Raw genomic sequence first — 13,412 nt, forward strand, 5'->3', positions numbered from 1 at the left:
ACTTAATGAAATTGTCCCTCCCCCCAAATTCTCAGCACAATTTTTAGGCCCACAAGGAGTCAAGCACCTCAAGGAGATCTTCAGTTTGAACTTGGTGTAGACACAGGGATACTGATGAATCAATATTCAAATTAGCTGTTACCTACTTAAGAAAGAGAGGAGACCTTGGGGATTTCGAGGAAGGGTTCGTAAGGGAGATTTTAGCTGAGAAATACCATTTGCACAGTCAATCACTTCTGACCAAGTTATCAGAAAAAGGAGAAAAGAATGTCTCCCCACTAAATGTTCTAGGGTGGTGAGAAATCTAGGGTGGTTATCTAAATCAACAATATTTAGATATTCCAATATCTAAATATTGTTGGAAATACTCTCCTGAAGTGTTCATTGAACTCTAAGAGAGACAGCTTGTGTATCAGTGGCAGGGTTTAAGGTTCATTTTTTATTCCCATATTAATCCTTTAATATTTAGACAAATTTCCTTCTGAGTTTAAGGATAAAATGGGATGGGTTCTGCCTGGGCCTGGCCCTCATGGGGACATCAAAGGGCAATGTTGCAAAAAAAAAAAAAAAAAAAAAAAAAAAATCAGACCATCAGATTGCATGGGGGGAACCACCCCCATAATTAAATTACCTCCACCCAGTCCCACCCTTGACACCTGGAGATTATGGGGATTGCAATTCAAGGTGAGATTTGGGTGGAGACATAGAGCCAAAGTATATTATTCAAATAAGAAATCAAAAGAGAAATTGGAAAGTTCATTGAGCTGAAAATGAAAACACGATATATCAGAATCAGGGAGTTGCAGCTAATGTATGCTTGGAGGCAAATTTAAGCACTAAGATCCTATATTATAACAAAAAAGAAAGGTCTCAAATCAGTGACCTGAGTTTTCACCTTCAGAAACTGGAAAGAGAAGAGCAAATTAAACACAATGTAAGCAGATAAAGAAAATAATAAAAAAAACAGAAATCAATGAAAGAAAAAAGGGAAAATTATAAGAAAAATCCAAGAAAGTAAATGCTAATCATTTTAAACAATCAATTAAATTGTTAGACTTCTAGTCAGCTGATCAAGAAAAAAGTAAAAAGGCACGAATTACCAATACCAGGAATGAAAGGGTGGGTGTCACCAAATCTTCTACAGTAATTATAAGGAAACAATGGACTACTGTAAGCCATTTTTTTCTAATAAATTTGATAACTTAGATGAAATGAACACATTCCTTGGAGGGCATAAACTATCAAAGTTCACTCAAGAAGAAATAGATAACAAGAGTATCTATTGACAAAATCAAGTTTTTAATTAAAATCCTAATGACAAAGAAAACTAAAGGCCCAGGTGGTTTTCATGGTGAAGTCTAACAATATTTAAGGAAACAATAACAATTCTACGCAAATCCTTCCAGACAATAGAAAAGGAAAAGGTCTTTCCTTTATTTGATGAAGATAGCATTACTTTCTTACTAAATCAAACAGACATCATAAGAAACAACAACAGAGACCAATAACCCTCATGAACAATGATGAAAATATTCTTACTAAAATTTTAGCAAATCTAGTTCATCTATATCATGACAAAGTGTACTTTATTGCAGGAAGATAAAGTTGATTTAACATTCAAAAATCAATAAATGAACTTTACCATATTAGTGGACTAAAAAGAAAAATGCATATGATCATCTTAATAGAAAAAGCACTTAGTAAAACCCAACATTGAGTCATGATTAAAAGCCCTCACAAAACCAGGGATAAAATGAAGAGTCCTCATAGGATGCAGGCCATCTACACAAAAATCTATGTCTTCCTAAAATTGAGAACAAGGTAAAGATATCTACTCTCATCACTTTTATTAAACATTGTACTGGAGGTTCTAACTCATGAAATAAGGCAAGAAAAAGAAATAAATCATCTAGATTGGAAAGAGTAACACTTTCCTTATCATTTGTGTACACCAGTCCATGGAATCCATGAAATAAAAGCTATTAGAACTAATAAGTGAGTTAGCAAGGTGGCAGAGTTCAAGATTAATATACACAAATCAAGGGTATTTTTATATAAAACAATCAGAAATTGAAATTTTAAAAATGTTATTTCCAATACCATTAACAAATATAAAATTGTTAGCCATAAACCAAATAAAACATGTGGAAGACTTGTACATTGAAAACTGCAAAACATTGCTGAGAGAAATTAAAGAAGACCTAACTAAATGGAACATGTACCATGTTCATGGACAGGAAGACTTGAAGTTGTTAAGATGTCAATTCTCCCAAGTTGAGTTATAGATCAATTGAATATCAATCAAAATTCCAGAAGGCTTTTAAAAGTGAAAATCAATAATTGAACTTTAAGTTTTATATGGAAAAAATGAAGGACCTAGAATAGTGAAAATAACTTTGCAAAAGAAGAATAAAGTTGGAGGACTTACTTATCTGATTTCAAGGCTAAATATAAAGCTATATTAAAACAGTATGGTATTGCCATACATATAGACAAATAGATCAATGAAACACAATAGAGATTCCAGAAATAGACTCACATATATATGGCCAATAGATTCTTGACAAAGTACAAAGACAATTCAATGGAGAAAGTATTGTCTTTTCAACAAATGATGCTGAATCCCCAAAAAAGTGAACTTTGATTCGTACCTCACAGCATATACAAACTTTAATTCAAAGGAATTCATAGACCTTAAACTATAACATTTTTAGAAGAAAATAGAGCAGAAATCTTTGTGACCTTGGATACAACATAAAAAGCATAATTCATAAGAGAACAAATTGATAATATGCATTTCATCAAAATTAAAAACTTCCACTCTTCAAAATACACTGTTAAGAGAATGAAAAGACATAGATCAAGAGGACGTATTTTTAAATCACGTATCTGTAAAGGACTTCTATGCAGAACATATAAAACCCTTGAACCTCAATAATAAAATGCAAACATGCAATAAAAAGAGGAACGAAAGATTTGAACAGACACTTCACCAACAGAAATATTGATGGCAAACAAGATCAGGAAAAGATGCTTAATATCATTATTCAATAAAGAGATGCAAATTGAAACTACAAGTTGATACCACTACACACCTGCTAGAAGGTGTAAAATTAAACAGACTGATATACCAAGTGATGGCAAGGATGTAGAGAAATTAGAAACCTCCTACACTGCTCATGGGAAGGTAAAAATGGCACAACCACTTTGGAAAACAGTTTGGCAGTTTATTAAATAGCTAAATACACCTACCATATGATCCAGCCATTCCACTCCTAGAGAGAGAAAAGCATATGTCTATATAAAGGTTTGTATGCAAATGTTTATAACAGCTTTATTTGTAATAACCAAAAGCTGGAACCAATCCAAATGTTCATCAACTCCTGAATGCATTAACAAATTGCGTTTACTGATAAAATTGAAGACTCTTCAGCCATAGAAAGAAATGGGTTGTTGATACTGCCAAAAACATGGATGAATCTTAAAATAACTTCGCTGAAGCAAAGAAGCCAGAGCTCACAAAAGTATGAGGACATACACTATGCTTCCAGGTATATAAAATTATAGAAAATGCAAACTAACCTATGATAACTGAAAGTATGTCAGTGGTTGCCTGGGGACAGGCTGAGGGTGGAGAAGTGGAGGGAAGGATTACAAAGGGCACAAGGAGAGACTAGGGTGATGAATATGTTTATTATCTTTTTTTTTTTTTTTCCCCGAGACGGAGTCTTGCTCTGTCACGTAGGCTAGAGTGCAGTGGCGCAATCTCGGCTCACTGCAACCTTTGCCTCCCGGGTTCAAGCGATTCTCCTGCCTCAGCCTCCCGAGTAGCTGGGATTACAGGCGTGTGCCACCACGCCTGGCTAATTTTTGTATTTTTAGTAAAGGCGGGGTTTCACCATGTTGGCCAGGCTGGTCTCCAACTCCTGACCTCATGATCCACCCGCCTTCACCTCCCAAAGTGCTGGGATTACAGGCGTGAGCCACTGAGCCTGGCCGATCTGTTTATTATCTTAACTGTAGTGATGGTTTCACAAGCATAAACACACATCAAATTTTGCACTTTCAATATGCGCGGTTTAGTGTATGTCAATCATCCCTCAATAACACTGTTAAAAAAAGAAACATTAAAATTAAATTGTAAATTATCAAAGAAAAAAACACTAAAAGCACTTTTAAAAAGGCATAACTGTAAAGGGACTCTGATTAGATTGAGAGCAAACTTCACAACTGCAGCAATCACGACCACACACAGTGGAACAGTATATTCCAAGTGCTGATGAAAATAATCATCAAAATGGAATCTACCCTGCTGAACAGTGTTCAAGAGATAGTATAAAATGAATGCTTTTTAAAATTATTTATTTTTAGGGCGGGGCTGCCAAGGGAGGAGGAAGATGGCGGCGGGGGCGAGGTGAGGTGTTGGCAGTGGAAAGGGGTTCGGGCTTAGGGGGCGGGGGGACGCGGAGCGATGCCCGCGCCGGCGCAGGGGCGGATAAAAAGCCGTAGCGCCACGGGAGTGGGCGGGAGGGAGAGGGGGTACCCGAGGGCCACAAGAGTATGACGGGGCTGTAAGAGCTGGTGTGGCGGGTGCTGCCCCCCTGCTCTGTCTGCACCGCAAGCTCACCTCCTGGCTCCGCGTTCGGTTCGGCACTTGGAACTGGATCTGGCGACTGTGCCGGCGCGCCGCCTCTGCCGCGGTCCTAGCGCCGCTCGGCTTCACGCTCCGCAAGTCCCAGGCGTCTGCAGGAACCGCCATCACCACCCGCACCCGCGCCGGGGGTCGTGCCTGCCCGCAGCCCACCACCAGGTGCGCTGGCGCGCGGACGGCCCTTCCCTGGAGAAGCTGCCTGTGCACATGGGCCTGGTGATCACCGAGGTGGAGCAGGAACCCAGCTTCTCGGACATCGAGAGCCTCGTGGTGTGGTGTATGGCCGTGGGCATCTCCTACATTAGCGTCTACGACCACCAAGGTATTTTCAAAAGAAATAATTCCAGATTGATGGATGGAATTTTAAAACAACAGCAAGAACTTCTGGGCCTAGATTGTTCAAAATGCTCACCAGAGTTTGCAAATAGTAATGACAAAGATGATCAAGTTTTAAATTGCCATTTGGCAGTGAAGGTGCTATTGCCGGAAGATGGAAAAGCAGATATTGTGAGAGCCGCTCAGGACTTTTGCCAGTGAGTAGCCCAGAAGCAAAGGAGACCCACAGATGTGGATGTAGATATGTTAGTTTACTCAGTTCAAATGGTTGTCCTGATCCTGATTTAGTACTGAAGTTCGGTCCTGTGGACAGCACACGAGGCTTTCTTCTCTGGCACATCAGATTGACTGAGATTGTCTCTTTGCCTTCCCATGTAAACATCAGTTATGGGGACTTTTTCTCTGCCCTTCGTCATTATGCAGCCTGTGAACAGCGTCTGGGAAAGTGGTGGTCATTGGTTGCATAATTTGATCTGAGGCTTATGGAGGAAAGGACCCAAGTGACTCTGATGTTTAGAAAGCACCTATGAAACCCTGTACACACCTAGTTCATAATCCTCATAATTTATCAACAAACACAAAGAAGTGTCTTACTTGAGAGTGAGTGTGTGCGTGTGTGCGTGCACACATGTGCACGTTTGTATGTGTGGAAATAAACATAAATGGGGACGTGTTGGAGAAGGAAATACATAGACCTACAACTTTGAGCATATAGCAGTGATGTTTTAGGAACTGAAATGTCACACTTAATAAAGTCTTCAGCCCAGCTACTTCCCTGTTTTCGTGGGGAGAAGGGGGCCTGATTAGAACTGTTCTGGTTGTGTTTGGCGGGAGGGGAATAAATTTTGTTCAGTCCTTCTTAGTGACCAAACTTTAATTTTTAGGAATAACATATTGACTTACTGAACTGAAGCATTCTGAGTTGAAAGGAGCCCCAGAGGAAAGGAGTTCTGTGTTGCTCACATGTTAAAAGCTTGCTCACCTTCAGAGCAGAGGGAATACCTATCTTCAGATATCCGCCCATTTTCATCTCTTCATTATAGTCAAACAGTGTGACTTGAGAGTGTTGCTCTGGTGTCTGTATTCTGGCTTATGAAGATTATTTGAAAAAGAACTCTTACTACATTGAAATGCAGACTTTTAAAAATTTAAATATTGGATTAGGCAGTCAAAAAACCAAACAAGCATAAAAGGTCAGTAAGTTGTAATCTTAAAAGTAAAGGTGGAAAACTCATTATAAATGGAAGAAAAGTTTTGATTTCCTTTTTTGTTTGATGGGCAGTATGCCATATTATATCCAAAGTTGGTTTAAAAAATACTTCCATCAACTATTTTTATTTAAAATAAACATTTGAGGGAAGTTACCAAGGCAGCTTTTTTCCTCAAAAGTAACCTGTTCCTCTTTGGAACAGCACATTTTAGGGGCATGGTTAATACCTGAGATTTTTACTCAGTAAACCTGATGGTTACCGTGTGTAAAATATCTTTAAGTAGGATTGAAGGCCTCTGTGGGGAATATAATGTTACCAAAGCCTATAAAAATAAATTTTACATGTTCTTTTTTATGACAGAGAGCAGCACTGGTTCTGTTATTTTTTAAAATGAATAACTGATTTCTTGACAGGTGTTTAGTATTTCTTCCCTCACTGCTGATTCTTGGATAGAAACCATTCTTTGTATTTGATAGACTGTTTTCAGAAAACTCTTATCAACAAGTGTACAATAGTTATCTAAAACTGTACATTTAGAATGGAGCAGTTTAATACTAGATCTCAGAAATTTGAAAAATAGCAAAGAAGAGTGGATTTGGAAAGCATGGTCTACAATTGCTTGTCAATTCTGAAGCTATGAAGAATAAATGTTTCAGCTTTGGATTATGAAACCCCGTTTATGATTTTTAAAACACACTTGAAATAAAAATGATTGAACTAAATTTTGGTCCGGTGACATCATTTTGCACTGCATAGCCCATTATACATTGTAAGTCTTTTTGTTTTAATTTATTACTGAGAGTTTTCTGTGAAGCTACAGCATATCTAATCAGAGAATTTCTGATTTGTTTCCTTATACTGTGATTATGTTATATTAAGGCATTTGTAGTGCAGCTTAAGACTGAATTTATGCTTTTTGTAAACATGATCGGTGTAAATGTCTTATAAACATTCTGGAGTATGTATAACTTTAATGAATGAAATTTAATGGACCTGATTAAAATAAAGGGATTTAATCTTTGTTAAAGTGAAGTTAGTGGAATAAATTACCTACTGGAATATAGTCCAAGTCACTAAAGGTTTAATATTTGCATTTTTGTGCTTTTATTTTCTCCTTCCATTCATAATTATATACTTGAAAGTACATCTGTAGCCTATGACTTGAGTCTCTTGAACTTCTAGGAAGAGGCAAACTACAAACTACTAGGATTCTGATTTCAGATATAGGCATTCCAGAATCTTCTCTTTACGAGTTCACCTGCTAGTATAATCTCCACAACTTGAATGGCCTTGGTTGTTCTGTAATTGCTGCCAAAATCATCACAAGCTGTACGTCATCAAGGCTCCCTTTGCACTCCCAAGAAGAACTGTTCATTTTAAACAAAAGTGTATGTCTTTATTTGTATTGGAAAATATTGTCTTTAAATTGTTTCTTGTTGACACTTCCCACAATGGAAAAATTACCAAATTAAACCTGTTTTATGGATGGCAGCTTGGAGCATAGCAAGAAGTTGGAGGATTTGAATTCCATTCCCAGTTCTCATTGCGTTTTGTTTCTTAAAACTATAATAATTGGTTACTGTTATAAAGTTTAAAAGGTGGTTTTAATATGAATAGCAAATTCTGGTATATTGTGACTAACGCTTAAGAATGCCTGTCTTTGAGAGGAAGGTGTTATAATATTAATCAACAGTGCCAAATACACTGTGCATATCTACAATTTAATCTTTGAATGTTTGTTACTGGATTAGCTCCCTCCTCCTTCTGTGTGATGGTACCATGCATAGAGTCAATCAAATCCTTGTGATGTTTTGTATGGACTTTGACAACATGTAACTAATGTGTAAAGCAAGTTTTTATGATTAAGGAATCAAATTTATTGAATTTTATTATTGAAAGTTGAAACTTAACATGTATAAACAAAAAACAATAAAATAATAAACTATTTTCATTGACTATAAAAATTATTTATTTTTAAAAATTCATACATAATACTGTATGTATTTGTGGGGTACGTATTGGTGTTTCTATACATACAATGTATAGTAATCAGATCAGGGATATTAGCATATCTGCCATCTGAAATATTGATCATTTTTTGTGTTGGGAGAATTCAATGTCCTCTTTTAGCTATTTGAAAATATATATTCTTGACTACAGTCATCCTACAGTGCTATAAAACATTAGAACTTATTCCACCTAACTGTAATTTTTTGTCCTTTAACAAATCTCTCCCTATATCCCCCTTCCCTTTCCACCCTTGAATAACCTGGATTCTACTCTTTACTTCTATGAGATCAACTATTTTAGCTTCTATATATGAGTGAGAACATGTTTAACTTCCTGTTCCTGGCTCATTTCACTTAACACCATTTCCTCCAGGCTCATCCATGTTTCCATGGAGGACAAGAATTCATTCTTTTTATTGCTGAATAGTATTCCACTGTGTGTGTGTGTGTGTGTGTGTGTGTGTGTGTAGGTGTGTGTATGTGTGTGTATAAAATCATATTTTCTTTAGCCATTCATCTGTTGATGGAGACTTGGGTTGACTCCATAGCTTGGCTATTGTGAATAGTGCTGCAATGGACATGGAGTATGGACAACTCTTGGATGTACTGATTTTCTTTGCTTTGGTTCTTTACCCAGTAGTAGGGCTGCTAGATCATATGCTAGTTCTATTTTTGTTTTTTTGAGGAAACTCTATACTATTCTCTACAGTGGCTGTAGTAGTTTACATTCCCACCAATAGTGTGTAAGAATTCCCTTTTCTCCACCTCCTCACCAGCATTTGTTTTTTGGTTTTTTTTTTGTATTTTTGACAATGGCCATTCTAACTGAAGTGAGATGATACCTCACTGTGGTTTTGATTTGCATTTATCTGATGATTAGTGATACTGAACTTTTTCCATATATTTGTTAGTCATTTGCATGTCCTTCTGAGAACTATCTGTTTGAATCATTTGCCCATTTTTAATTTTTTTTTTTTTTTGCTGTTGAGATGTTTGAATTCCTTGTGTATTCTAGATACAAATCCCTTGTTGGATGAATAGTTTGCAGGTATCTCTCGCCCTATGCAGAAGTTAACTCAAAATGGATCAAAGACTTAAATGTAAAACCTGAAACTATAAAAACTACTAGAAGAAAACACAGGGAAAATGCTTTATGATATTGGTCTTGGAAAAGATTTTATGAATAAGACCTCAAAGCACAGGCAACAAAAGCAAAAATAAACAAATGGGATTACATAAAAGTAAAACGCTTCAGCATACCAAAGGAAACAATCAATGTAGTGAAAAGAGAACTAACAGAATGGATGAAATGAAGACTTTCAGAACCAAAACATCCTGAGAGAGTGTCCCACTGAAGACCTACACACAATACCCTACTAAGAGGTATTCTTTGACCAAAAGTAAATTGAACCTGGGAAGATGGAATAAGATACATGAAGCTCGGGTGAGCAAAGAAAATGCAAGATAATACAGGTAAATCTAAAGGAGCACTGAGTGTGTAAAATAATAATAATCGTAACTAATAATGCAGGTAAAAAAATACTACTGAACTAAAACCTTATAGAAGATAAACACTAACTTATGATTTAAGGAGAACAACAACCTCTTAACCTAAGAATACAAGAGAATTTCCTTATCCTGATAAAGAGGATTAAATCATATAGAAAGTATTATCTTTCATTGTAAAATTCAGTGCTGCTCTAAAATCAGCTCCATTTTTATGTTTCATTGTGCTAGAGACCCTAGAAGCAGATTGTGAGATAAAAAGAAATCTGTTATTGGGTCTAGGAAGGAAAAAAACTAAGCTATTACTATGTGCAGAACATTTTTGAAGAGGAAATTAAAGATAATCTAGAGACAGCTGTTAGAATTAACTAGGGAGTTCAATGAATTGCAGGATATAAATTCAGCATAAAAATTACTAGCAAAAATTAGATAAGTATATAAGATTCCATTAACAGTGAAGAACCCCACAAGGTTCCTAGAGATACATGTAATAATAATGTGCAAGACGTTTCTAATAGGAGGAAATGGGTAAACTTTGTTGGAAGGCATGAAAGAAGACCTAAGTGAATGGAGAAATATGCCATATTCATGAATAGAGAGACTCGTTAATGATGGAAACTATCATTACATTGATCTAAAGATAAAATGTATTTCCAAAATCTTTTCCCAAAATGTGTTTTTCATGCTGATTTACAAAATTAACATACAAGAGCAATGAGCCAAAAATAGCCAAGACATACCTAAATATAAAGGCGAGAGAGATAACAGATATCACAACTTATTTTATAGAGCTACAAGTCTTAAGAGAGTGTGATATGGTTCAGAGATGGGTAAATAAAATAATGAAACTGAGGCTACAGCTAGAAAAAGAACCATGAATACATGTGAACTTGGTATATGATGGGGGCATTACCCTTCAATGGGGAAGGGGTGCACTACTTGGCACGTGGTGCTGGAGCAACAGAAAACAAATTCATCAAGAAAAAATAAATCACAGGTAGGTCAGCACCTACACGTGAGAATGCAAAGCTATAAAAGATAACATGAGTTTATACCAATATCACAAAACAGGAGGAACAGTTTGAGGTATCAGACACATTAAAATTTAAAATTCTGTTCAGAAAAAGGCACCATCAATAAAGCAAAAAAATGTACAAGCCTCAGTCTGAGAGGATATATTTGCAATCCACATAACCGATGAAGTATCACTATCCAGATACATAAATAGTTCTGAAAATCAGTAAGAAAAAGGCAAGTGACCCAATGGAAAAATGAGCGAATGATAAGAAACAATAAATATCAAGAGAAAACAATGGGCAATAAATAGTGAAAAGAGGCTGAACTTCACTGCTAACACTGAGAAACACAAATTAAAACAACTAGATGCCATTTTTCACCCATTAGAGTGTAAAAAATTAAGAAGTTTGATACTACAGAGTGTTGCCATGAATCTGTGGAAATGGAAACTCTGCTGCTGGAAGGCGTATAAACTGGTATAACCACTTTGGACAGCAATGCAGCAATACCTAATAATAATGGTAATGATAGCGCTAATGTTTAATACTTATTGAACATTTATAAAGTGCCAGGCATTGTTAAAAGCTGGCATGGAAAGCTGATGACACACATTCCCAGAAGCCAGGGGCTCTTCCTACAGTGGCCTGGCCCAAGGACCCCTGCACATGGCACCAGCAGACACAAGCAAGGCTGCTCATGGTGTGGTGGGAAAGCAGAACTCGTTTGTAAGTTCCTGAGTGGGGAAGGATCACTAATCTGTGCCTCATTGGCACAACAGAATATTCTACTCCAGCTAACAGAAACACACTGAATTGATGTCCGTCAATATGGATAAATTTCAAAAACTTGATTTTGAGTGAAAAAAAGCAAGTTGCAAGAATCTTTACACCATTTGGCCATTTATGTCAACTTTAAGGCACATAAAATATTGTTGGAGGATGCAAGCATGTGATAGAAAAGTACGAACTTGTAGGTGGGAAATATGGACACCAGCCCTCCTCCATAGAGAGCTGACAGCTAGCTGGGGAGCTAGCATTGGTCCTTCTGTCCATCCATCCACAGGAGCCAGGCCATCTCCAAGGAGGGAACACCGGCTAAGGGAAGCAAGAGCCAGCCTTGAGGAGCTGGAACCTGGAGGAAGGTTATTCTAGGAATTCAAGGACTTAAGACATTTGAAATCTACTAACCTCATTTGTTATGATTCATTATACATTAAAAAGTCAGGAAACAGCAGATGCTGGAGAGGATGTGGAGAAGTAGGAATGCTTTTACACTGCTAGTGGGAGTCTAAATTAGTTCAACCATTGTGGAAGACAGTGTGGCGTTTCCCAAGGATCTAGAACCAGAAATATCATTTGACCCAGCACTCCCATTACTGGGTATATACCCAAAGGACTCTAAATCATTCTACCATAAAGACACATGCACACGTATGTTTATTGTGGCACTGTTCACAATAGCAAAGCCTTGGAACTAACCCAAATGCCCATTAATGATAGACTGGATAAAGAAAATGTGGCACATATACATCATGGAATACTATGCAGCCATAAAAAAGGATGAGTTCGACCGGGCGCGGTGGCTCACGCCTGTAATCCCAGCACTTTGGGAGGCGGAGGCTGGTGGATCATGAGGTCAGGAGATCCAGACCATCCTGGCTAACATGGTGAAACTCCATCTCTACTAAAAATACAAAAAATTAGCCAGGCATGATGGCGGGTGCCTGTAGTCCCAGCTACTTGGGAGGCTGAGACAGGAGAACGGCATGAACGCAGGAGGCAGAGCTTGCAGTGAACCGAGATCATGCCACTGCACTCCAGCCTGGGCGACAGAGCGAGACTCCATCTCAAAAAAAATAAATAAATAAAATAAAAGGATGAGTTCATGTCCTTTGCAGGGACATGGATGAAGCTGGAAACTATCATTCTTAGCAAACTAACACAAGAACAGAAAACCAAACACCACATGTTCTCACTCGGAAGTGGGAGCTGAACAGTGAGAATACGTGGACACAGGGAGGGGAACATCACATACTGGGGCCTGTCGGGGTGGAGGGGAAGGGGAGGGATAGCATTAGGAGAAATACCTAATGTAGATGACGGGTTGATGGGTGCAGCAAACCACCATGGCACGTGTATACCTATGTAACAAACCTGTACATTTTGCACATGTATCCCAGAACTTAAAGTATAATAAAAAAAATTTTTTTAATTAAAAAAAAAACATGGGCTCAATTAACATGCAGCCAAGGTAACACTTGTTAAAAATCCTACCTCCATGCAGGATGAGAATTCCTCTGGAGGTGGGAACAGAGAAAACTTCATGCTTGGTAAAGCACCTGAGGCACCCATTACAATCTGGGACAAGATGAGGACATCAACACTCATGCTGTATTCCACATGGGAGGCCAAGTCAACTCAAGATGATTTTTAAGAGATATAAGAGCCAGGCATGGTAGCTGATACCTGTAATCCCAGCACTTTGGGAGGCTGAGGTGGGAGGCTTACTTGAGTCCAGGAGATCAAGACCAGCCTAGGCAACAAAGCAAGACCAAGACGCCTTCTCTACAAAAAAATAAGAAAATTAGCCTGGCATGGCAGTGCACACCTGTGGTTCCAGCTACACTAGAAGCTGAAGGGGGAGGTTCACTTGAGCCCCGAGTTTGAGGCTGCAGTGAGCCAC

General features: G+C 37.8%; 1 long non-coding RNA gene and 1 pseudogene across 1 annotated transcript in view, besides 1 other annotated feature; one reads left to right on the forward strand and one right to left on the reverse strand.

Annotated features, from left to right (window-relative positions):
* The window catches only part of LINC00621 (long intergenic non-protein coding RNA 621), a 39,978-nt gene extending 34,699 nt beyond the window's left edge, over positions 1–5,279 (reverse strand). The window contains exon 1 of the long non-coding RNA NR_138043.1: positions 4,628–5,279. This is a non-coding gene — a long non-coding RNA (long intergenic non-protein coding RNA 621). The remainder of the gene's footprint in view (positions 1–4,627) is intronic.
* Positions 4,086–4,999: an enhancer, noted in NCBI's record as "H3K27ac hESC enhancer chr13:23489315-23490228 (GRCh37/hg19 assembly coordinates)". NCBI's record gives its function as "activates a minimal SCP1, AML or CMV promoter by ChIP-STARR-seq in naive H9 embryonic stem cells {active_cell/tissue: H9 hESC(naive)}" and the evidence as "EXISTENCE:reporter gene assay evidence [ECO:0000049][PMID:30033119]".
* Positions 4,371–6,456, forward strand: NUS1P2 (NUS1 pseudogene 2; annotated as a pseudogene).
* Positions 6,457–13,412: the final 6,956 nt, after the last annotated feature.

Source organism: Homo sapiens, chromosome 13 (genome assembly GCF_000001405.40).
Source record: "Homo sapiens chromosome 13, GRCh38.p14 Primary Assembly".
NCBI lineage: Eukaryota > Metazoa > Chordata > Mammalia > Primates > Hominidae > Homo > Homo sapiens.